This window comes from Homo sapiens, chromosome 1 (genome assembly GCF_000001405.40).
Source record: "Homo sapiens chromosome 1, GRCh38.p14 Primary Assembly".
Classification (NCBI taxonomy): domain Eukaryota; kingdom Metazoa; phylum Chordata; class Mammalia; order Primates; family Hominidae; genus Homo; species Homo sapiens.
The window spans coordinates 34,754,569-34,780,804 of NC_000001.11; the positions used below are offsets into that span (position 1 = coordinate 34,754,569).

A 26,236-nucleotide genomic window follows, 5' to 3' on the forward strand; every position below is an offset into this window, starting at 1 on the left:
CCTAGGAATAAGGAAAAGGAGGAGGAAGAAACATTTTTTTGAGGACATACCATGCGGCAGGCCTGTGCTGGGCAGTATACACGCATTATAGGCAATTGTAGACAGGGCTTCCCTTGTGTCAGGCACTGTTCTAAGCACTTCACCCCTAAGGCTGGGTTAATCCACGTATCCACCCTATGAGGTAGGTGTTGTTCTTTTCCCACTTTCACAGAGAAGGCAAGAAATCACACAGTGAGAAAGTGGCAGAGCTGGGATTCAGGCCTCAGCTTCTCCCACACAAGCCCACAGATGGGAGGATGAACAAGGAGTCAGAGTGGACCTGTGGCTCTCCCCTGAGAGGATACCAGGATTCGAGGCTCAGCGCCCTGGGAGGAGTGAACCCCTCAGTTTCCTGAGCCTCATCAGAAGCAGTCTGGGGAGGCTGGGGCCCAGCCAATGGCAGTGCAGGTCCCAGCTCCTCCTCCTCCCAGGCTGGGCCAGCACACCCGGCAGGCTCTGTCCTGGAAACAGGCTTCAACGGGCTTCCCCGAAAACCTTCCCCGCTTCTGGATATGAAATTCAAGCTGCTTGCTGAGTCCTATTGCCGGCTGCTGGGAGCCAGGAGAGCCCTGAGGAGTAGTCACTCAGGTAAGGGCATCTGTGTCCGCATGTGCCCTGCCCCTTGGCATACGTGGCAGGAGGACACTTCTCTGCTGGGGAGTGGTGGGATGTGGCCTGGACACATCTGCCACCCTGGGTCCTGATGGTGGAGGAATAAGGGGCTCTGGGTTCTTTCAGGTCTCCCCAGCCGGGCAAAGGTAGGAGCAGGGGCCAGGCCGGAAGCTCAGCAGGCAGGGTAGCTCTGCCTGGGCCTGCAAAGCCCTGCCCCACTCCTCCCCAAGTAGGGATGGGCTGGGTGAGAGCCCCTGGGGCTAAGGGCGGGGCCTTCCTGGGTGTTCCCTGAGAAGCTGCAGGAGTCCTACCTTAGACAGGACTGAGCATGCAAGATGGTGATTCAAAACAGAGCTCCCCCCAACCCCGGCCCCCACCTCCACCCATCCCCCGTCCAAGTGGCGCAGGTGGTGTGGAGACAGGGTGGTGGGCAAAGGTTCCCCCAGCCACCCTCATCCAGGATCCACACACAAGGGGAAGGACAGAATCCGTCTGCACACAAACAGGCAGGCAGCTCATTGAAACTTGAGGAAAGGGTCTGAGGCCTAAGGCTGGGCAGTTCCCGGAGGGTGGGCTCTAGAGCCAGCCTGCCTGGGTTCAAATCCTAGCTCTGCCACTTATTAGCTGTGTGACGTTGAGCAAGTTAATTAATCCCTCTGTGTTCCTCTTTCCTCATCTGTAAATTGGGAATAAAAAATATGCCCTTTCCTAAGGTTGCTGTGAAGGAATAATGTACTGATTCATACAAAGAACTTAGAGCGGTGCCTGGCACGGCATGAATGCTTCATGGATATTGGCTGTTATCACTACTCTGCTTTGCAGTTGATCATGCAGAGGCTCCAGAGAGCCTGGTGAGCTTCAGCCTGGACCAGCATGGGAAGGCCATCATGAGCCCTTTAGTGGCTAGGCAGACAGGTTCCTTGGGGTCCCAGGGTGCACAGTTGGTTGAAACCACAGTGCATGGGTCTTAATGGACACACCCCCATCTCCAGGAATCAGGCAGAGGACTCGCGGGTGAGGAAGTGGGGACCCCTTACTCTGCCTAGCAGTCACAGTCCTTACGCGGAGGTGAATCTGATTCTGTGAGTTCATCAGGCCAAATTCACCAGCAGAACTGACAGGAGCAGCATTTCCCACTTGATGTCTTGACAAGGCTGTTCCACAAGATGATAAATGTTATGTCAGGAGGAAAAGGGCTTCTGTGGGCAAATGAGTTTGGGCAATGCCACATATTTCATACCTCTTTTGGTGAATTTATTAGTGAGTTTATTAGCACGGTTGAGCAAAAGAACCCTATTTAACTTTACTAAACCCAATGTTTGCCAACTTTTCTTGACACAGAATCCTCTTCTCTCACTTCTCCTATTGCCAACCTATGGGACAGGGTTCCAGGGAACACTGTTTGGGAAACACTGGAATACCAGGTTACTCTAGGAAACCTACTGTATGAAGAGAATTTATTGCTGCCTGCTTTAGCTTTCAGCTGGATTGCATTGAGTGGCACTTGAGCAGGACTCTGCCTGGCTAATTACAGAGTGTTAGACCAGATGGGGGCTTGGGGACAAGGTTCCAGCCTCCTTTCCAGTCCCATCCCTGAGCCAAGAAAAGGACAAAGAGCAGGTTCCCCTGGGGAAGGGGCTGTCTGAGAAGAGGCAGCAGTGCTCAGAAAGGAGAGAACCATCTCAAGGCTCAGCCCCCCTGAGGAGGAGGGCCAGGGTTGAAACAGAGGGAGCAGGCAGAATGTCCCAGCTCCACCAGTCTTCACTCTGCAGAACCTCAAGACCAGAGCCTCAGGCCCGGGGAGGAATGAGTGGCTCCCTGGACCTGCCCTTATCCACTGGTATTGGTAAGAGCTGGGTTCTGGACTTAATTACCTATGCTCAAATCCCAGCCCTGCACCTAATAGTTGTGTAACCTTGTATATAATGCCACTAAACCTCAGCTCCCTCCCTCTACAAAATGGGGACAGTAGTAGAACCCAGCTCCTCTAGTGATGGTAAGGATGAAATGTGATGACATATTTCTACAAAGTGCTCAGAGCAAGTCTGTGATAAATGTAGGAAATGATTGTTCTTGTTTCCCTGCAGTAGCAGCTGACGCGTGGGTCCACCATGAACTGGAGTATCTTTGAGGGACTCCTGAGTGGGGTCAACAAGTACTCCACAGCCTTTGGGCGCATCTGGCTGTCTCTGGTCTTCATCTTCCGCGTGCTGGTGTACCTGGTGACGGCCGAGCGTGTGTGGAGTGATGACCACAAGGACTTCGACTGCAATACTCGCCAGCCCGGCTGCTCCAACGTCTGCTTTGATGAGTTCTTCCCTGTGTCCCATGTGCGCCTCTGGGCCCTGCAGCTTATCCTGGTGACATGCCCCTCACTGCTCGTGGTCATGCACGTGGCCTACCGGGAGGTTCAGGAGAAGAGGCACCGAGAAGCCCATGGGGAGAACAGTGGGCGCCTCTACCTGAACCCCGGCAAGAAGCGGGGTGGGCTCTGGTGGACATATGTCTGCAGCCTAGTGTTCAAGGCGAGCGTGGACATCGCCTTTCTCTATGTGTTCCACTCATTCTACCCCAAATATATCCTCCCTCCTGTGGTCAAGTGCCACGCAGATCCATGTCCCAATATAGTGGACTGCTTCATCTCCAAGCCCTCAGAGAAGAACATTTTCACCCTCTTCATGGTGGCCACAGCTGCCATCTGCATCCTGCTCAACCTCGTGGAGCTCATCTACCTGGTGAGCAAGAGATGCCACGAGTGCCTGGCAGCAAGGAAAGCTCAAGCCATGTGCACAGGTCATCACCCCCACGGTACCACCTCTTCCTGCAAACAAGACGACCTCCTTTCGGGTGACCTCATCTTTCTGGGCTCAGACAGTCATCCTCCTCTCTTACCAGACCGCCCCCGAGACCATGTGAAGAAAACCATCTTGTGAGGGGCTGCCTGGACTGGTCTGGCAGGTTGGGCCTGGATGGGGAGGCTCTAGCATCTCTCATAGGTGCAACCTGAGAGTGGGGGAGCTAAGCCATGAGGTAGGGGCAGGCAAGAGAGAGGATTCAGACGCTCTGGGAGCCAGTTCCTAGTCCTCAACTCCAGCCACCTGCCCCAGCTCGACGGCACTGGGCCAGTTCCCCCTCTGCTCTGCAGCTCGGTTTCCTTTTCTAGAATGGAAATAGTGAGGGCCAATGCCCAGGGTTGGAGGGAGGAGGGCGTTCATAGAAGAACACACATGCGGGCACCTTCATCGTGTGTGGCCCACTGTCAGAACTTAATAAAAGTCAACTCATTTGCTGGTTCCAGGTGCCCTCTGGTTGTGCGGCCTTCGTGACCCTCACACGTTCATGGTGTCAATCTCTCTGCCCCCGTGAAGAGCTGCACTTGATCCAGCCTGTGAGGGGCATCCTCTCTTCCAGAAAGGGGGCCCCCAGTACTCCAGGGGACGTGCTACTTGCTCATGCTCCCATCTAGCCTTTATCCCCCATGGCAAGTTTAGTCCTGTGGGTTGTCTGCAGAGAGAATGGAGCTTAGTCCATGTTGCAGTGGGAAGTTCATGAACTTAGAATGCCTGTGTCGAATCCAAGTTCCACCGGGACTCTGGGAAAGTAACTTAAGCTTCTCTCCAAAATGGGTTAATAATACCTAGCCTGTGGGGTTGTGCTGAGGACTGATGAGCTCATGGCTGTGGACAGGGCTAGCCAGCTGTAAAAGGACACATAAATGTTAATCATTGGTATTAGGAAGTGCTTGATAATGCCTGTGAGAAACGAGGCAGAAGGCCCCTCCCTAGCTGCACATTAACCTTCATCATCCCAGCCAGAACACAGGTCCCAGGCCCCCCACCAGCATATGTGAGGTCACACTCCAGCCTCCCTGGAGGCCTTCCCCAGGACCCACAGAGGATGGACAGCGATGCTGTGCCTGGCCCTGTGCTAACTGGGGCATTTCATGCTGCTGACCTGCATTCCTTGCCTCCACCAAGGCTATGGGTGCCCTGGTCTAGAAAAGTCATAGTTGACCCCTCCCATTTCCTACACAATCCAAGAGCTTCCAGACTCCAGTCCCAGAAATATCCCACCACCAGAATGGGATGCGTTCCTGCACTAAATTAAGGTTGCCCCTTTCCGTAGATGTCAGCTGCTGAGACCTCAGTATCAGGCTTCCCAGGAAAAGGGCAGGAGAGAGGGCAAGGAGGCAGGGTAAGGAGGCAATGGGAAGGGGACAGGGTCAATCCCACTGGTGCTGTCCTAGGCCTAGGCATAATGATATCAGGCTCCTGAACCCCACACAGCAGTCTCACCCACATACCTGCCTGCCTGGGAGCCAGGCTCAGCCATACCCAGCCAGGCTAGAGAGGAGGCGTGGGCCAGGAGAGAAGAGCCGCAGGTGTTTGCTCTGAGTATGTGCCCGGGGAAGTCCGCCCTCCTGCCTGCCCACCCAATCACTCTCGCTTGGCTCATTGGCCCAGAAAGCCCCACCCAGCAAGGGAGAGAGGAACAAAAGCTGCCTCCGGGAGGTCCTGAGGCAAACAGACAAGCCCAAGGACAAGGAAGCAGCTACTGGACCCAAGAAGGGTGAGGACCGAATAGGGCAGGAGGCTGGCCAGGAAGCAAGCAACCAGCTGAGCTGAGGATATCCAAGGGACCTCAGGCTGTGGGCTGGGCTTCAGGGAGGGAGCCAGAGGGTCAGTGTCCCTAGAGGATCCCCAGGGAAGTGCCAAGGAGGAGAAGGAATGTCCTGGCTGACCTAAGGGACGACAGAAGATTGGGGAAGAGGGGGTATCAGGAAGAAATGGGTTTCAGTTCAGTTTAACAAACATCTATTGTGTGTTCACTGGGCCAGGCCAGTGCTAGGTGCTAGGGAGACAGAGGTGAAGAGCCTGCCCTCTAGCAGCTGACAGCCTGGCAAAAAAATAAGACAGGTAAATAGACCATTTGGGTACAGGCGATGCCTCTTGCTCTGAAAGTGTCCCAGGCACACGATGTCTGAAGAGGCTGAGAGCAGAGTCAGGGATTGGGGATGGGGAAGGAGGAGGGTAGGAGGAGGGGAGGGTTGGACATGGGGCCTGATGGGGACTCCAGACAAGGGGGTGTGGAGGTCAGAGTCCACAGGAGAGGGGCCTGAGAGGAAATAATGGAAATGCGGCTAGCAAACAGCCACTAAATGGACAGAGGAGGGGGTGCCCCCAGAGAAAGTAAATGGGGGGTCCAGACCATGCCAGAATCCATCCTCAGTCCTTCCTAAAGCTGGAATGGTTGGAATTCCAGAGGAACCCACTGTGGTCAAGACAGTCAGCCCTCAGGCCCCAGCACCAGTACACGGGTTGGCAGGGATGATATCAAGTCCCCGTGATTCCAAAGCACCTCTGTTTAGTTTGGGAGGGAATGCCAGGGCTGAGAACCTTCCTGGAGCCAGAGGCAAGGAGTAAGGATGCAGATTGTTCTGGGATTTACCAAGGGGCTGATGTGAACGTCCCCAACACGGGGCCAGGCTCTTGTTGGTGTTCAGTAAAAGTGGGATGGATCTGACAACTGATAAGGATACGTTCCCACCCCTCCTGCCCTGGCCCAGCCCTGGCAGCTGATGGGAGAGCAGATCGTCCAATTCAAGCCTTCCTACGGTCTCTTTAGAAGACATGGGCTGAAACTTGGGGTAATAGAGGTTGGCTGGCATATCCATGCAGGATGATTGTCTTCACATGTATCTATTACCTTGTAGAATAAGGTAGACCCTGATTTTGGAACCTGAAGACCAAAGTGCAAGATTAGCTCTGCTACTTCCATCTGTGGACCATTGGGCAGGTATCTCTGGGCCTTCACTTACTCTTTGTGAAATGAGGACAGGGGCAATCCCTACCCTACCAAGTCATTGGGAGTGAAGACATGATGACACGGTGATTGTGAAAAGATTTTGTCAATCGCACCAGCATTAAGGGTGCCCATCTCCAGGTTCCCCCAGGCCTCAAGGCTCCCAAGGCCTGAGTGGGCAGGTAGCACCCAGGTATAGACCTTCCACGTGCAGCACCCAGGACACAGCCAGCATGAACTGGGCATTTCTGCAGGGCCTGCTGAGTGGCGTGAACAAGTACTCCACAGTGCTGAGCCGCATCTGGCTGTCTGTGGTGTTCATCTTTCGTGTGCTGGTGTACGTGGTGGCAGCGGAGGAGGTGTGGGACGATGAGCAGAAGGACTTTGTCTGCAACACCAAGCAGCCCGGCTGCCCCAACGTCTGCTATGACGAGTTCTTCCCCGTGTCCCACGTGCGCCTCTGGGCCCTACAGCTCATCCTGGTCACGTGCCCCTCACTGCTCGTGGTCATGCACGTGGCCTACCGCGAGGAACGCGAGCGCAAGCACCACCTGAAACACGGGCCCAATGCCCCGTCCCTGTACGACAACCTGAGCAAGAAGCGGGGCGGACTGTGGTGGACGTACTTGCTGAGCCTCATCTTCAAGGCCGCCGTGGATGCTGGCTTCCTCTATATCTTCCACCGCCTCTACAAGGATTATGACATGCCCCGCGTGGTGGCCTGCTCCGTGGAGCCTTGCCCCCACACTGTGGACTGTTACATCTCCCGGCCCACGGAGAAGAAGGTCTTCACCTACTTCATGGTGACCACAGCTGCCATCTGCATCCTGCTCAACCTCAGTGAAGTCTTCTACCTGGTGGGCAAGAGGTGCATGGAGATCTTCGGCCCCAGGCACCGGCGGCCTCGGTGCCGGGAATGCCTACCCGATACGTGCCCACCATATGTCCTCTCCCAGGGAGGGCACCCTGAGGATGGGAACTCTGTCCTAATGAAGGCTGGGTCGGCCCCAGTGGATGCAGGTGGGTATCCATAACCTGCGAGATCAGCAGATAAGATCAACAGGTCCCCCCCACATGAGGCCACCCAGGAAAAAAGGCAGGGGCAGTGGCATCCTTGCCGTAGCAGGGTGGTGAGGAGGGTGGCTGTGGGGGCTCAGGAAGCTCGCCCAGGGGCCAATGTGGGAGGTTGGGGGTAGTTTGGTCCCTGGGTCCTGAGCCTCAGGGGAGGGAGGTTGATAGCTACTGGGGATTTTGTATATGGCAACAGTATATGTCAAACCTCTTAATAAATATGATTTTCCCAGTACTTTGCAGACCAGGTGGGGAGTGGCCGATAGGAAAACGGGGGGCAGGGGGGATTAGGTGGACCTCAGAGAGGATGCCAAGACTACTCAGTGAGCACCTGAGCACTGGAACCTCAGATCCAGGCTCACCCATCACCCCCCAACACACACAGTGTGTGCCCCCAGAACATGATGGGCTGTGCCCAAAGGCAGAGGCTACTCCAGGGGCCTCTGGGTTGTGCAACCACCTGGCCAAAGCAGGAGGAGAGGAATTCCAGGAGACCCTGTGCCCAGCAGGAGTCAGTTCTCAGTGATCGTCCATCACAGGAATGAGCGTGGGTTGGGCCTCCCTAGCCCTGCCCAGCACAGGTCCCGGATAGGTGAGTCCCCTCTGACGGTGGGAGGGTCACGGCTGAGAGCAAGCCAGGGATGGGAATCTGTCAAGGTGCCCAAGAGGCACATCCTACAGGCCAGGGCCCACTGAGAGTGTCTGAGCTGAAAGGTCCCTTGTGGATCCTGGAGTCTATGGAATTTCATGTTCTTTTTCACTGATACAACTTCCCCATCCCATACTCCCCCACCCCACCACCACTCAGACTTTGGCAACTCCCAGAACCACACCTCCACCCTAACATGCCTCTGAGTCCCACCAAATGCCCACTAGACAATTCCCTGGGAGGCCCCCAGGCATCTCATACCCGCCACTCCCAAGCTGACCTCATCAGCTCACCCAGACCTGCCCCCTTGAAGATGCCCCACCCCATCTCATGCAGGACACAGCTATTCACCCAGCTGCCCAAGCCAGGGGACGAGACAAGCCTGACATCCTTGTCCCTCACACCCCACACCCCCACTGGCACCAAATCCCACTGATTCCAGTCCCTAAATGCCACCTGAATCTGCTCTTCCTCTCCTTACAACAACCTAACTACCTCCTGGACCTCCCCCATCTGCCCTCCGCTACAGGGATGGAGTGATTTATCTGTCTATGCAACTGACCATGTCATTCCACCTGCTTTAAAATTTCTTCCACCATCACCAGCCCCATGCCCTCAGCATGGCCCCCGCTGACCTCCCCACCTCATCCCAGCTTCCTCCCCTTTTCTACCTGCAAGTAATACCAAAGGGCTCCTGGTTCCCCAGGCAGACACGTCATGTGGTGTCATTCCTCGTGCCTTTGTCATGCTATTTCCTCTGGCTAGAATGCCCTTCCCACCCCCTCTGTGATCCTCCCTCGAACCTCTAGGACAGCTTTACCCATCTCTCTAAGTGCCAGCCTCGCTTGTCCCTCTGCCACTCTCCCCAAATCGGAATTGTCACTTCCCCTGAGTGTCTCCCTATCAGTCTGTGAGCCCTTAATGGGCAGGTCACTGAGTCATCCAGGTCCCTGCTGCCTTCAATAAATGCTTGTTAGATGAGTAAATAGTCTGCTTGGGGGAAGGAACTGAGTCTTGTTCATCGGAATCTTCCACCACACCTAGCCTGCGGACTTCAGCAAAGCATTTGTTTGCTTGCTTTGTTTTGTTTTTGTTGTTTCAACTAGAGCCAGCATCAAGGTCTCACCTTTAGGTAAGCAAACTTGAGTCTAGAAAGGGGAGGAGGCCCTTCAAGACCACACAGATCTGCTGAGTCTGTCAGGGGCTCTGTCCTCTGTGGTCCACAGGTAGACTCCACACCCACCCCTGATTATGGCATAAGATCGAAGTCACCTGTCTTTAGGGCAGGCTCCCTGGAAGCAGAGCCAGAGGCAGGGGTTTCTGTGCATGTGAAGGAAGAAGCAAGGGGAGTTGGGGAGGGAGGGGCTGAGCTGAGCAGGGATGCAGACTCAGGGAGATGCAGCCTTGGCCCGACCCCTGTGGGATGAGGGGGCTTCAGATCATAAGTCTCACCACATTTCAGTCGGTCATTACTTCAGGTGCCCCCAATGGCAGGAGGGTTGGCAGGAAGTGGTAGGTGGCTCTGGCTCAGTCAAAATCAATTCTTCAGGGGTAGCCATAAGCCATCAGCAGCCAATATTCACAGCATTTGGGGAATGGATTCCCCCAGTAAAGGGGACATGGGCAGGGCACCAATGCCATCTACTACACTCCTGACTCCAGGAAACAAGAGTAGCTCCCACTTCCAATCCAGACTAGAGCTGTGACCACCAGCCCAAAAGAACAGGGTGGCACTCCTGACCAGTTCAGAGCCAGATAGCCCCACATTGCTCAGACCACAGTAGCTCCCAAGTCCAGGCCAGAGGACCCCACGATAGCCAATGCCCCCAAGATTCCAGATCCATCCTCCAGGGGCAGCTGCTTGGTCCAGCTTATAGTGAGCTCACTCCAGGACCTGACAGCTCCCATGGCGACCTCTCCTTGGATGCTCTTCCCAAAGATCTCGAGTCCTGAGCCACTGAGCCAAGTGGGGACCTTCAGAGGAGGCTGCGACTAAGAACTGCTTCAGCCATCAGGCCATTTATCCTCAATCCCACCCACAATGTCAAGACTCACACTGCTCTCACCACCACTCACACCTGTCCACCTTCACCTTCTTGAAAAATCCCCCTTTGCTTCCTCTTCTGCCCTCTGTCCTGCCCACATTATTGCCATCTACCTCTCCTCATTCATTGAAGACTGAGCCCATAGCCCAAGGCCTTCTCCTCCTGCTATTCTCCCATGATCCAAGGCCTCAGGGGTCACCTGTGCATCACCCTGTCCTTTCTATCCCATGACCACCTTTGCCACAACATTTAGCTACCCACTAGCAGGACCCCACCCCAGACCTGGTCATCACCCAGAACTGTTTCACCTCTAGAGCCTTCCATTCCTGGAAATATTTGTTCTTTATTATTCACTTTCATGTGAAAGCTCCATATAAGGTGCTAAGGAGTCATCTGGGAAAAATCAGACATGGTCCCTGACTTCATGGAGTTTACATTCTAGAGAAGAGGACAGCTACCAAACTCATGGCGCACTGGGGAAGCTGGGGAGAGAGGGAAGAGGATCTAACATCCAGGCATCCAGAAAAAGGCTCCCTGAGACATCTAGAGAAGGAGGATTTTGCCAAGCAAGGAGGCGGAATTCCAGACAGAGGGGATAGCTTATGCAAAGGGAGAGTATACCTGGTGACAAAGATGGAAAGAACCCAGGAGCTCTTGGGCCAGGTGAGGGGCTCAGGTAGGAGTCAGGCTGGAGTAGACAGAGGCTGGATCCTTGCAATGATTTCTTTGTAAATCTCTGCTAATGACTTTGGACTTTATCCTGAGGACAATGACAAGTCCCTAGAGAGATGTAGCACAGAAGTGACATGATCCAATTTGCAATGTCTCTGGATACAATGTGGCGGGGCCAAGGCAGGGCTACCTGTTTGGAATCTGGTGCAATCGTCCAAGCAAGAAACAGCAATGGCCTGAACTAGGGTGTGCACCTTGGGGATGGAAAGAAGTAGATGGACTTAAGAAATGTTTACAAGATAGAATCCAAAAGATGTGATGATTTAATTGGGTGTGGGGATCAAAGTGACACCCAGGTTTCTGGCTGTGAATGGTAGTACCATTTACTTGAGTGGGGAGGTGTGGATGACTTCAGTTTCAGACATGTTGAATTTGAGATACAAGTAAGATATCGTGGTTTTTCCCTCTCCTTCACGGATGACCTCAGCCCCTCGTTCAGTGTCTTCCATCTGCTACTACATTTATTAGTAGTGACTCCATTTTCAACACCTTGACTTCTCAGTTCCTTGACTTCCTTGATTTCAACAACCTTTTTATCCACTCTTCCAACCCACCCACCTGCATGTTCACACCCTAGTTCTGTCTACACCAAGAGCTGCATCATCTCCCATCTATGTGGCTCACCCAACCTGATTCCCATTCCAGCAATCCTTCTGCCCCATCTACTGACCCACCACTATGTTCCCCCACCCCTTTCCATTCTCCCTGCCCTCCTTTCTCAGCTTAGACTCCACAGTCCCCCAGATAATCACCAGCTTGCAGGTGTCCTCCACTCCCTCGCCTTCTCATGCCTCTCCAGTACTTATCTGGCAAGACCCTAACTCCGGTTAAACCCAACTCTCCACATGGCACCTGTTCCTGAGCACCTGGAGGATAATACAACTGGACTGACTGGTCTCCATTTAAACTTTTGACCACAAAGTTCAAGTGGACACTCAGCACCTCTAAGAAATTCTATATTTTCCTAAAACTTTATCCCTACTCCCCAAAATGACTCTATCATGCCTTCTCCTCTTTCCTCAAACCTCCAGACCCCATTCTCCTAATCCTCCATTTAAGCTGATAGTCAGGCATAACAACGTGCTGGGAATAGAAGCAAAAGGCCAGCTCAACTCAGCCTACTGCTACCACATCTGCCAAACTCAAAGCATGAGCGGCTGTCAGCCTTGCTCCTCCCCTGTAACGTGGACAAAGCATCCCTGCTCCTGGGACACCCTCCTCCGCTTGGACAATGGACCCCTTCACCCCTCACCTACTCTAGACTGTGCTCCACAGTTGGTGCCTCTCTCTCCTGCCTTGCCATTTCCCTTTCTACCAATACACTATAATACTTTCATCTCTCTCTTTTTTTGAATTCTCTCTTGAAACTCCATTCTTCTCCAGCTGCTACCTCATTGCCAAAACAAAAGTCTCCTATACTTGCTGCCTCCACTTCCTTGTTGCTTTAACTTGTTCCAGTCAGGACTGCTCTTGTCAATATCCCCAAGGGCCTCCAAGCTGCTACATCCAGTGGTCCATTCTTCGGCCTGGCCTAACTCCCTCAGCATCACTCAGCCATGAAGAGCTCCCTCCTCAAACATTGTCTCCTCTCGGCTTCCAGGCAGAATCTCTCCTGGCTTTCCTCCCACCTCACTGATGTGTCTTTCTTGATGTCTTTCAATGCCTCTCCTTCCTCTTCCTAAGCTCTAAACGCAAGATGCCCCAGGGCCCAGTTCTCTACCTTCTTTCCTCCTCTCTATACATTTCCCCTTCAGTGACCTGATCCAGTACCACCTATAAAACCATCCATAAACTGATGACTCCCACATTGATGTGTTCAGACCTAACTGTTCCCATGAGGGTCAGACTCCTGTATTCAACTTCTATTGGTCATCTAAAATAGAACTCCTAATTCCCCTAACTGAGAACAGATTTAGTTTTCTCCAGGTTTTCCCCACCTTGGAAAATGTCATCCCCATCCATCCAGATGCTCAATTCAAAAACCTGGAGTCTGTTTCCTCGTAATCATATTGGCATCATTAGCAAGTTGTGTTGGCTATAATTCCAAAATACCATATCAAAATCCAAACACTTGGTGACTTCATATCCAACACCCTAGTCTTTCCAAGTGCTTCAGTCCCAGGCGAAGGCACCTCATTTCTACACCTGGACACCTGCAGCAACTGGTCTCCCTGCCTCCACTCTTGTTCCCCTAAAAGTCTTCTTCCACATAGCAGCCTGAAATATCTTTCTAGCACGTCAGTCAGACCAGTGGAGTCACTCCCTGACTTAAAATCCTCCAAGTGGCTTCCCATCATGGCCAGAAAAATAAATTTAAGCCAAACTCTACCATCGCCTGCAAGGTCTTATGGGGTCAGGCACTGACTACTGCTCCTGCTCCAAGCCAACCTCCCTTCACTCTCCCCTCTTGCCATGCTCCACCCACACTGGCCTTCTCCCATCTTGGGGTCTTTGCACCTGTCTCGCTGACAGGGCTCTTCCCCTCCAGATTAACATGTCTGTCTCCCCAGCATTCACATCTCAACTCAGACATCCCCTCTTCCAGGAGGCCCTTTCTGACCCACCCTCCTCACCCACCACACACTGTCACTCTCCATTATGTGATCTCATTTTATCTTCTTTGTAGCACTTACTAGTATATGAAATTTTCTTATTTTTTTACATATTTATTCTCTTTATTGCCTCACTGGGATGAGCTCCTCAAGAAGTGGGACTCTGGGCCGGGCGCAGTGGCTCACGCCTGTAATCCCAGCACTTTGGGAGGCCGAGGCGGGCGGATCACAATGTCAGGAGATTGAGACCATCCTGGCTAACACGGTGAAAGCCCGTCTCTACTAAAAATACGAAAAATTAGCCGGGCGTGATGGCGGGCGCCTGTAGTCCCAGCTACTCGGGAGGCTGAGGCAGGAGAATGGCGTGAACCCGGGAGGCGGAGCTCGCAGTGAGCCGAGATCGTGCCACTGCACTCCAGCTCCGGCAACAGAGCGAGACTCCGTCTCAAAAAAAAAAAAAAAAAAAAAAAAAGAAGTTGGGCTGTGTTGTCTTCACCCTTTTATCCTCTAGCACCTAGAAAAGTGCTTGACACATAGTAGGCACTCAATTAAAATGGGTTGACACTGATGATGGGCACCCAGGAGATGTCTAGTAGGCTGCTGATGTAAGAGGGAAAAGGACAAGTCAGGAGATATCTATTTGGGAGTTGTCAGCATAAATGCATGAATATAAGACATGATTTTGCTCCAAAATTACCCTTTAGGAAGGAAGCCTTTGTCTTTCATTCAAGTCTTTACAAAGTTCCCTGCATTTGCGGGGCATGCTCTCAATTATTGCATTTTGAACAACAAAACGCTCTTTGGGGAAAACTCATTAGCCCGAAATAACCTCAATCAATGAAGTTTTGGATATTCATGGTAGTTGCTTGGCAGAATCAGAAAAAAAAAAAAAAGTGAAGGCAAAGGCATTTCACGTATATTGAATCATTATTCCCAAGGGCAGGACTTTACAATTGCAAGGATTGTCTTTGTAAGCAAGCCCATTTTAAAAAATCACTTTAAAACAATAAAGGAAGTGGTTATGTTATGGAGATGACAAATACCTACTGGAAGATTTTTTTTATTTATGCAACCTAATGTTAAGCAGCCAGACTTTTATGGCAAAGAATAAAATCTCCAGCATCATAAACAGATTCAAAAAGCACTATGTCACAAATAACTTGGGCAGAAATAAAGTTTTTGTGTTTTGTAAAATGTTGATAACAACCAAAGCTCTAATGATGTAGACTCAGATGTTAGAGAAAAATGTTAAAAATTTAAATAAAATTACTTCATAAAGCATGAGGAGAGAAAAACTAATACTTCTTACTACATTGTTGTATACAATGTGATTTTTAAAATGTATAACAAACTAAGTTAATACAGTACATTTTATTTCAACCACACTAAAAGTTTATATATCCAGGTCAGCCCCCACACATTTTTGAGGCTCTCCTCAATGGGAATATGGGGGGTTACCTTTTATCTGGAGACATAATCTGGGCCTCTATGGTAGTTGGGGGCTTGAGCCTTGGGAGTGGGTAAGACCATACAGAGACTGGGGGAGAGATGAGAAGATACCCTAGGCTGGAGACTTAAAGGTCAAATAACATGGGGGAAAGACAGCTCCGGGCAGGGTAAGTAGAGATCATACAAGCCATGGGGGTATGACATCGTAGAGGAGGAAGATGGTGTCGCAGAAGCCAAGAGAAGTGTTTCTAGAAGGAGAAAGTGATCATCAGAGCCAAACGCTGACATGGGCCAAATCAAATAAGGACTGAAAAGTGTTCGTTCGATTCACAAGATGGTCATGTGTACCTGTGCAGGAGTATGGGATGTAGAAACCAGGTCCCAGGGCAGTGAAGGGACAGTGAGGGCTGGGCACATGGAAACAGGTGTGAACAACTGGCTGGTGAACGTGGCTGTGAGAAGAATAGGAAACAAGAGGGTGTTTGTTGGCAGGAGAATGAGGGGACCAGCGAAGGTTTTTTTAATGATGGGAAGTCTTCCTATGCTCTGACCACGGCCTCCACCCGACCCCCTCACTTAGCTCCTCCCTCAACACCTGTTCGTGACCCCATAGGCACTTCCAGACCTGACCCTGTGTCCTTCTCTCAATCTACCAGCCTCCCTGCCCTACATTCCCTTCCTTCTGCAGCCAGCCTAGGCCTGAGCTCCACAGTGTCTTTATTATCACCCTTATCTCACATGGGAGCTGCCTTCCCTACTAGACCACAGGCTCTCTGAGGGCAAGAACAGTATCTGTCTGGTTTGGCAATGTATCCTCAGACCTCGCGCCATGGCCAGTACACAGTAAAAGGGTAATGAATATTTGCTGAGATGGTGACTAGAATGAACTGCTGTTGCATGGCATACCCACTACCCTCTGCCCCTCCTTCCTTAGCAGAACTCCAGGCCCCAATCAATCCAACGGGGCTTTTCCATCTCTCCACCCTGTGTTGGACTCTGCTAGAGTAAACCACCCAACCAAACAGAGTGAGGCCACTGCAAATTCTTGCTCTCCCACCTAACCTGGGCGCTCGGTGCCACCTGACGAATTCTGCTTTGGTCTCTCTGCTGTTGTACATGGTGGCAGTTTCCTCAATTTCTCCATTCTCCTCAAACTTTCTAGCACATTCCATCTTATTTACATCCTATTTCTTAAAGAAAGTAGAAGCTATCTGAGAAGAATGCTCTCCTCTCGACTGCCACCAAACCTACAGACCAACGCTCATCCACAACCTCCCTCTCTCCTTTCCCGCAGCACAAATGGGTGGGCCCACTGTTAATTCTCTAAATTCCCCACCCGTGCATAGGATCCTCTTTCTCTCCCACCTCCTTGCTTTCTTCTGCATCTTTAACACCTACTTCTCTCCTGCATCTCTCAGCATTTAAGCATGCTCAGATCTTTCCCATCCAAAAACAAAAGCAAAACCCTTCCTTGATCCCACGTTCCCTGCAGCTACCTCCTTACCTCTCTCCTGGCTTTCACAACTGCGCCTCCTGAAACTGATGTCTGCACTTACTGTCTCTACTTCCTCACCTCCCACTCACTCACCCACCAGCTATGATCTGTCTCTGTCCTCACATGCCACTCAAACTGCTTTGCCTCTGCCAAGTTCACCTACGATTCCTTTGTCACTAAGCCCAGTGGATGCTTTCCAGCCCTTGTCTGTGTGATGAGGCATTTAGCAGGGTAGATGGTCTTCCTTCTTCAGCCTCTCTGCCAGGCCATTGAGTCCTTACTTATTCTGCCCACTCAGCACTTCTCCTGTTCCTCTAAGCTGGGGTTCTAAAGGCACCTGCCAGGCTGATGTCCAGGCCCCTTGTCCTCAGGGTGTCCTCTAGGTGAGGCCAATCAGCGTTCTTCCGCAGATCATTTCAATCTTTTCTAAGAGAAGAGTGTCATGGTAAAACTTGGAAGGGAGGAGCTCAAGCTAAGAGTAACCTTGTGCAAAAGCCCATTAGTGCAAGGAGAGAAGAAAGCCAACAGTTAGAGAGGAGCAGAAGTGAAGCAGGCAGGAGAGCAGCTCCAGATGCACCCCAGACCTAATTCCAGGTACCCCTGGGGCCCCAAGGCTCCCCTGCCCTACCCGTGTTTCTATAAACCAATGAATTGCCTTCTGTGCCTGGAACTAATTCAAGCTGCATTTCTGTCATTTGCAATTAAGAGTGCTGACTAATACACCCAGGCTTCTGGGACACCATTCATCTGGTTTTCCTCCCACTGCTCCAGCCGCTCCCTTTCAATCTCCTTCAGCCCACCTCTTAATTAGGAAGGTCCCTGGGGCTCTGTACCAGGCCACCTTCTCTCCTCAGTCTCCATGCCCTCCCTGGGCGATTACATCCTCTCCCATGGCCTTGACCACCATCTCAACACTGTTGACTCCAAAATCTGTATTTCCACCCTTCTTCTTTTTTAATTTTCATATTGTAATAGAATAGACTTAACATATAAATTGCCATTTTAACTGTTTTAAGTGTACAATTCAGTCACATTAATTACATTCACAATGTCGTGCAACCATCACCACTACTTATTTCCAGAGCCCTTTTTTTTTTTTTGAGATGGATCTCGCTCCGTAACCGGGCTGGAGTACAGTGGCATGATCTCGGCTCACTACAACCTCCGCCCCCCTGAGAGCTGGACTACAGGCATGCGCCACCACACCCAGCTAATGTTTTTGTATTTTTAGTAGAGACGAGGTTTCTCCGTGTTGGTCAGGCTGGTCTTGAACTCCCGACCTCAGATGATCCGCCTGCCTCAGCCTCCTAAAGTGCTGGGATTACAGGCGTGAGCCAACATGCCCGGCCTTCCAGAGGCTTTTTATCACCCGCGGCAAGAGCTCCATCTGTACCCATTCAACAATAACCTCCACTCCCCCAGCAACCTCTGGTACCCTTGGTAACCTCTAACCTACTTCCTGTCTCTATGAATTTGCCTATTCTCAATATTTCAAAAAAGTGGAATCATACCATATTTGTCCCTGGGTGTGTGACTTATTTCACTTATAATGTTTTCAAGATTCATCCATATTGTAGCACGTATCAGAACTTCATTCACTTTTATGATTGGGTAAGAGTTCACTGTGTGAATAGACCATATTTTATTTATCCATTCATGCACTGATGGACATTTGGGTTGTCTCCACCTTTTGACTATTGAGAACAGTGCTACTAAGAACATTCATGTACAAGTATTTGTTTAAGTTTCTGTTGTCAATCCTTCTGCGTGAATATCTAGGAGTGACTTGCTGGGCCCTATGGTAATTCTGTGTTTAAGTGCTTGAGGAACTGCCACGCTGTTTCCCAGAAAGGCTGCACTATTTTACATTTGCACCAACTCACACAAGGGTTCCAATTCCTCTTCTCTTTCCTGAGGCCCAGTCCCACGCATCCAGCTGCCACTGGACATCCAAACACACATGTCTCTCGGGAAACTCAGACCCAACCATAGCAGGGCATCTGGAGGCAAGGGACATTTTGGCTGTGTGAAAACAACCAGTCCTGAGGCTTTGGGATGGGCTAAGTGCTGGGGATTAGGTGAAGCTTGGGAATGCATGTGGGATGGGGTGAAGCTTCTGTTGTGCACTTTTATCATAATAAGAAATGGTTTTTAAAGGCCATGTCAAACTGTTCCAATGGCCTTGTCAAAAATGGCTGCTCCCACTATTTACAGTAGCAAAGACTTGGCACCAACCCAAATACCCATCAATGATAGACTGGATAAAGAAAATGTGGCACATGTACACCATGGAACACTATGCAGCCATAAAAAAGAATGAGTTCATGTCTTTTGCAAGGACATGGATGAACCTGGAAACTATCATTCTCAGCAAACTAACAGCAACAGAAAACCAAACACCGCATGTTCTCACTCGTAAGTGGGAGTTGAACAGTGAGAACACATGGATACAGGGAAAGGAACATCACACACTGGGGCCTGTCGCTGGGTCGGGGGCAAGGGGAGGGAGAGCATTAGGAGAAATACCTAATGCATGCAGGGCTTAAAACCTAGATGATGGGTTGATGGGTGCAGCAAACCACCATGGCACATGTATACCTATGCAACAAACCTGCACGTTCTGCACATGTATCCCAGAACTTAAAGTAAAATTAAATGAATTTAAAAATAAATAAATAAATAAATGGCTGCACCAGCAGCTTGGATGGAGTGGAGACCATTATTCTAAGTGAAATAACTCAGGAATGGAAAACAGAATACTGTATGTTCTCACTCATGAGTAGGAGCTAAGCTATGAAGAAGTAAAGGCATGAGAGTGACAGAATGGAGTCTGGGGAATTGGGGGGACGGTAGGAGGGGTAAGGGATAAAAGACTACATACTGGCTACAGTGTACACTGCTCGGATGACAGGTATACCAAAATCTCAGAAATCACCACTAAATAACTTATCCATGTAACCAAAAACCACCTGTTCCCCAAAAACTATTGAAATAAAATTTTAAAAAAGGAAAAAAATGGTTGTGCCAGAACACATTTACAAACATACAGATCATTTAGCAAACTCCAGGCACGACGACCCTGTTGTTTTCTTCTGCCCCTCCCAATATGCTCCTTTCCTCATCCTTAACAGCTCAGGTAATGGCAAACTATCTTATCAGGTGCTTATCAAATTTGTAGAGACAGCGAGGCTGGGAACAATATGGCCCTACAGCTCAGATACAATCTAAGCTCTACGCCCTGAAATCCATTGCCATCACCTCTTCAGCCCAGGATCAAGGCACCAAAAGCTCCCACATGGCAGGTGGCAGACTGATTTCAGGGCCTATTGCACACACCTCACCCTAAGCTGGCTTCCCCAGACATCCTGATGCCCTATACTCTTGCAGCTCAAACCACAGCCAAGCAAAGAGCCTCCTCCCATCCAGAAGGAGGGAAGAAGCTGGATGAGGACAGACAGACTACTGCCAGCCACGCAACTGACTTGACCCCTGAGCACCAGGGATTCTTACCTGGTGGCAGGAAGGAGGGAGGAAAAATGAGGCTCAGCCAAAAAAGGCTTCCTGGAGGAGGGCAGCTGGTCAGGGAGGAACTTCTGGAGGGTAGGAGGTGGCGATGCTGAGCTAGAAGGGAACTGATGACACGGCTGCCATGCACTGGCCTGGGACAGGAGCTTACTATGCTGTGGGGGTTTTATTCACTCGTGCGACAAGTATTTTTTGTCTACTAAGTGCCAGGCACTGTTTTAGGCACTGGGAATATAGCAGCAAATACAACAGAAAGTAAATGGCTGTCCCCACAGATTTCTAGTGATATGAGAGACAACAAACATAAAACACAAACAAAATACAGGATATGTCAGATGGGTATACTGCTATGGAGAAAAATTAATCAGGAAAGGAAGTAGGGTAGGCTGAGAAAGGAACTACGATTTTAGATGGGGAGGCCGGGGAAGGTCAGTAAGTCTATTTCAGAGAGAAGAAAGAGCAAGTGCAGGGACACTGAGACCCAGAAAGTCTTGGCACATACCCAGGACACAAGGAAGCCAATGAGGCAGGGCAGCCAGTGAGCCGAGACGTGGAAATGAGGCCAGAGCCTGTGGGTGAGGCCTGAGAAGGACTCGATCGTGTAGGGTCTTACAGGCCATCCTGATGCCATCGGCTGTCAGTCAGAGTGAGTCGGAAGCCAGTGCAGCATTTTTAAGCAAACAGGAGCACAAGCCCTCTGGCGGCTCTGTTAGCAGCAAATGGGTAGGGGCAAAGGCTAAAGCAGGAAGACCAGTTACAAGGCTACTGCAATCATCTAGGAAAGAAATGGTTCTTGATTTCATGTTACCCCAATAATATTAATGGAGTCAGCGAGAAGTGGCCAGACCCTATAAATATTTTGAAAGTGGCACCAAAATGATTCACAGACATTGAATGTGGGATATGGGAAAAGAGGATCAATGAAGACTCAAAGGTTTGGGGCCTGAGCAAGTCGATGAGTAAAACTGCCATTTACTAGAACAAGTGAGAGAAAAGGTCAGAGAGGAAGAAAAGGAATAGGTTGCCAGATGAGCAAATTTCAGACAAACTTTTTTTTTTTTTTTTTTTTTTTTTTTTTTTTGGAGATAGAGTCTCACTCTGTCACCAGGCTGGAGTGCAGTGGCACGATCTCGGCTCACTGCAACCTCCACCTCCCTGGGTTCAAGCGATTCTCCTGCCTCAGCTTCCTGAGTAGCTGGGACTACAGGCACGCGCCACCACGCCCAGCTAATTTTTGTATTTTTAGTAGAGATGGGATTTCACCATGTTGGCCAGGATGGTCTGGATCTCTTGACCTCGTGATCTGCCCTCCTCGGCCTCCCAAAGTGCTGGGATTACAGGCGTGAGCCACCGCACCCAGCCAACAATTTTTTAATGTGTGTCCCATGTACTAGCTGAAATTCAGAATTAACTGGGTGTCCTGGTTGTGCTTTTGCTTTGTTCCTAAATCTGGCAACCCTAGTAAGTAAGGAGCTTAACATAGGTTTGTGATACCTATGTTAAACATCCTAGGAGAAAGTTTACTAACAGCTGGACACATGAGTACAGAGTTTAGAGGAATGGTCTGGGCTGGGGATACGTATTTAGCGGTTGTCAGCTAAATTTTCGTATTTTAAACCCTGAGACTGGATGATGTTACCAAGTGAGCAAGGGAGGACAGAGAAGAGAAAGAATGCAAGGACTGAGCCTCAAGGCATCCCAGTTCTTAAAAGTCAGGAAGATCTGGAGTAACCAGCAAAGGAGACTGAGAAAGAAAGTGCAGAAAGGAAGTAGAAAAGTCAGGAGAGTGTGATGCCTCTGAAGCCAAAGGAATAGTGTCAAGGCGAGAGGAATCAACTTCATTCAACGCTGCTGAGGGTTCAGGGAAAGATGAGGGTTGAAACTTGGCCATGGGGTTTAGCTATAGGGACTTTGACAAGAGCAGTTTTGGTGTCATATAGGAAGCTAAAGCTTGATTAGAGTAAGTTCAAGAGAAGATGAAAGAGAAAAAATGGAGATAATGAATCAGGACAAGTCTTTGGATAGATTTTGCTGTAAAGGAGTGGAAAGAAATGAGGCAGATGCTGGAAGGAGAAGTGGGGTTCAGGTTAAGGTGTCTTGTTGTTTTGTTGTTAAGATGGAGAAATACCCACATGGTAACAGGAAAGATCCAGTAAAGAGCAAAAGGTCAATGATGGAGGAGGAAGAGAGGAGGTGGAGGGAGGTGCCTGGTGGGTAAGAAGGGGTGCGTGCATATTAGAATGGTATGGTTGGCTCCTGACAGCAGCTCAGCAAAGTCACGTATTACCTCCATTCGAGGAGCAAGGTGTGTGGGCAGAAGTTTCGAGCAACTCTAGGTGTCTTGGAAAATAAGCAACACTCCAGCCCAGGGCCTCCCTGGAAGATCGCCTCCTCCCTGCCTGCAGCCCCAGACATGCCTGAGCAGGGCTCAAAAGCCCCCATCCCTCTGCCTGATCTGTTTCCCATGGCTTCTGCCTGCCCCACCTCTCCACTCAAGGAAGGAAAGGGCCTCATGCCTCTGCTGCAGACACACAAAGATAAGGAAAACTCCAGTCTGAGAGGTGGCAGGGGTGGGGGGCGGGGTGGTCTTCCCATCTCAGGAAGCACCTGCCTGAGGCCTGGGCAGAGCTCTAGGTGGAGAGGACAGCCTGGGAGCAGCACCGCCTGGGCCAGGGCCAGGGCCAGAAGAGGTACAGGCTCTGGCCCTGCCACCCCTAGAGAGCAGGTGTAAGCCCTGAGGGCAGCTGCCAATCCCTGGTGCAACACAGCTTTGTCCTGAGGCAGGGGGATGGCCTAGATGGCCTCCTACACATTCCCCTACTCAGGGAGCAGAAATTTAGGGCAGGACCACAAGGCATTAAGGTTCTCAGAGCCATTCTCTCTGGAATGGGGAACTCTTCCAGCTCACTCCAGAAAAAGCAAAGGCCAGTTGTTGGGGGCACTATCTCATATCAAGAGTGAAAAGCCAGCATCTGGCAGAGTCAGAATGACAGGACCTAGGTGATAAAATCACCTGGTTACCAGAGCAGAATAACCCAACCACACACATAGACACCACTACACACCACCACAACCACATATGCACACAGCCTCCCACACCACCCCAGCCATCTCCATCATCACACACATTCACAACCACACATGCACACAGCCTCCCACACCACCCCAGCCACCTCCACCATCACACACATTCACAACCACACATGCACACAGCCTCCCACACCACCCCAGCCATCTCCGCCATCACACACGTTCACAACCACACATGCACACAGCCTCCCACACCACCCCAGCCACCTCCGCCATCACACACGTTCACAACCACACATGCACACAGCCTCCCACACCACCCCAGCCATCTCTGCCATCACACACGTTCACAACCACACATGCACACAGCCTCCCACACCACCCCAGCCATCTCCACCATCACACACACTCACAACAACGCACATCAAAGCCTACACACACGTGGCCCACATACCACCCTTAACACACAGCTCTCCAGGCTTACACACACAGAAACAGTTCTCGCACATAACCTTATGTGCACCCAGTGTTTACAAATAGTGACTGAGAGTCTGTACATTCCAGGCCCTGGTAATGTGGCAGGAACGTGACCAGGGAGCTCCCTGCTCTCCTGGAGATAATTTCAGAGACGGCTGTGAAGAGTGTCTGCTGAGGAAGTGGAGCAAGGAACATTTGGGGTGGGGGTGGGGGAACCAGGGAACACCTCTGTAAGAAGGTGAGACCTGAATAAGGAGGAGGAAGCTTCCAAGTAAAGAGTCAGGAGAAGGCAGTCCAGGCAGAGAGAACAGCAAAGGCAAAAACCAGAAGGCTGACCTGAATGTGGCTTGTTCAAGAACCAGAAAGAAGGCCACTACAGCGCCCAAGGGGATGAGAGATGGGGGAGAGGCAGGACTAGGTCGCCTGGTGCCTTGGGGCTCAACGTCAAGAGAGTGGATGCCAGTCTAAAGTTAATGATAAGTCACTGTAAGGTTTTAAGAGGGAAGTGGCATGATCTATTAGGTTGGTGCAAAAGTAACTGCGGTTTTTACCATTACTTTCAATGGCAAAAACCACAATTACTTTTGCACCAGTCTAATAGATCGTTAAAACACTACTTCAGCTAGAAGCAACCACGGGAAAAAATGTTATTGCAGTCCTCAGAGTGGTGAAGGCATTTCTAATGACAACAAAACCCAAGGGCCATAAAAGATAATATTAATACACTGGACTACATAAAACATGTTTAATTCTGTATGGCAAAACCCCCGTCTATAAAGTCAAATCACAGGTGTCAAGAAGCAGCAGAGGCAGAGGGAATCCTTTCTATTTGTATCACAGACAGAGGAGGGCTTATTTCTTTAGTATGTAAAGAGCTCCTGAGAAATAAATAATAAAAGTCAACCATCCAATAGAAAAATGGCAAAGGCAAAGAACTGTTCACAGGATAACAAACAAAAGCGGCCCTTAAATATGTGAAAAGATGCTCAATCTCACTCATACCAAGAGAAATGCAAAATAAAGTATGATGAGATATCATTGACAAAGATCATAAAGCTTGATAACGCTCTCTATTGGTACGTATATGGGGATACAGGCACTCCCTTGTCCCTTGGAGTGCAAACTGAAACATCTGTGAAGACGATTGGGCAATATGTATCAAAATTTTAAATACACATACAACTTTAAAGCAAACATTTCACATGTAGGAATATGTCCTGTAGACACAATTTTCAAATGTGTTCAATAATGATTATCCAAGGATAGTCACGCAATGGTATTTGTAATAGAATGAAATAAAAAAGTGGAAACAGCCTTTTCATCAGAATAGGACTGATTAAATAGAGTACATATACTATTCAGCTGTTTTTAAAATGAGAGAGCAAGGCAGCTCCATATCCACTGATGGGGGGAATGTCTCATATTTTGTTAAATGAAGAAAGCAAAGTGCAAAAGAGTGCAGATAGCATAGCACACTTCCATAGGTTAAATGTAAAAAGAATATATAGTTGAATATGAACAGGTGATTTGGGAGTAAGAACAAGAAACTAGGGACCCTGGTGTTCAGGTAGGCAGCTCCGGTTACAGTCTGGTGTTCAGGGAGAAGTCACGTCCGGTGTTGGAAATGTGTGAATCATCAGTGAGTGGATGGTATCTAGAGCCCCAGGACTGGGTGAGCTCACCTGGGAAGGAAGAGACTGGGCCCTGGGACATGCCCACCTTAGAGGCCAGGATGTGAGGCCTGTGGTGTCAAGGAAGCACGGGGAAGAAAGTGTTTCTAGAAGGAAGGAGTGCCCCATTGTCCCAGGTGCTTCTGAAGGTCAAGGGTCATGGGGACAGAGCTGTGATTGCTGGATTTAGCATTATGGAGATCCACGGAGACTCTGATAAGCCGTTTTTAGTGACATGGTAGGGACAGGAACATTGTTCAAATGTGTCAAAAAATGACTAGGAGGGGAGGTAGCGGGGAGCAAGTCTTGCTCTGACAGGGAGCAGAGCAGCAGGCGGCAGAGTCCAGGGCCCCACACCCTCATGCTCACTTCCCCGCTGCCCATGCACAGAGCATAGCACATGCACCTGAGCCACCTGGCACTCCTCAATCTCAGCAAAGATTTTCAAGGGCCACGACCCCAGTGAGTACAAGGGAGCCTCTGCCCTGCGGCTTTTCTGTATCTGGAAACAACACTGCTGAGGCCTCCAGAGCTGGGTCTGCTGCTTATTATCTGTGTGACCCTGAGCAAGTCACCTCACCCCTGTGTGCCTCAGCTTTCTCATTCATAAAAGTAGGAGGGATTGGACCTTCCTCATCTGGATGCTGCCATGATGAAATAAAGCATGTGGGACAGTGTCGGGTGCAAAGATGCCGCTGGGCTCCCAACTCAGTGCTCATTCTCTACCAAAATGAATAGGAGGAGGGTGACCATAATTGATGCTCCTAACTTTGGGGCATTTTTGAAAGTAAAAGGGGGCATTGTTAATGATGCCAGCACTGCAAACATAAACCAGTACAGTCCTGGGCAAACACCATGTGGAGCCACCATAGTGCCAGCAATATCATCTCTGTGGAGACAGGACTCGGGCCCCACCCTAAGATCCAGGGACTCCCAAGGGAGGCTGGAAACCCTGGGGTTTTCCAAAAGAGGCTGGGGCACTGCAGGCTTTTATTAGTTCCTAGTCAGGACACACTAGTAAATAAGACAATGTGTCCTTATCCCCAGGGCACAGCCCAGCCCCACCCCAGCCGCAGACCCACCTGCTT

General features: G+C 50.3%; 2 protein-coding genes across 4 annotated transcripts; both read left to right on the forward strand.

Moving 5' to 3' along the window:
- Nucleotides 479–3,944, forward strand: GJB5 (gap junction protein beta 5). 2 transcript variants are annotated; one of them, NM_005268.4, is made up of 2 exons: nucleotides 479–627; nucleotides 2,739–3,944. In NM_005268.4, exon 2 carries the CDS (start codon nucleotides 2,763–2,765, stop codon nucleotides 3,582–3,584), a length of 822 nt encoding a protein of 273 aa, NP_005259.1. In that variant the 5' UTR covers nucleotides 479–627; nucleotides 2,739–2,762; the 3' UTR covers nucleotides 3,585–3,944. The 2 variants fall into 2 exon arrangements, with proteins under 2 accessions (NP_005259.1, XP_005270808.1); XM_005270751.4 differs by having other exon boundaries at nucleotides 2,742–3,944.
- Nucleotides 5,172–7,759, forward strand: GJB4 (gap junction protein beta 4). Of its 2 annotated transcripts, none has more exons than NM_153212.3 (2): nucleotides 5,172–5,220; nucleotides 6,365–7,759. In NM_153212.3, exon 2 carries the CDS (start codon nucleotides 6,687–6,689, stop codon nucleotides 7,485–7,487), a length of 801 nt encoding a protein of 266 aa, NP_694944.1. In that variant the 5' UTR covers nucleotides 5,172–5,220; nucleotides 6,365–6,686; the 3' UTR covers nucleotides 7,488–7,759. The 2 variants fall into 2 exon arrangements, with proteins under 2 accessions (NP_694944.1, XP_011538981.1); XM_011540679.3 differs by lacking the exon at nucleotides 5,172–5,220 and adding an exon at nucleotides 5,286–5,567.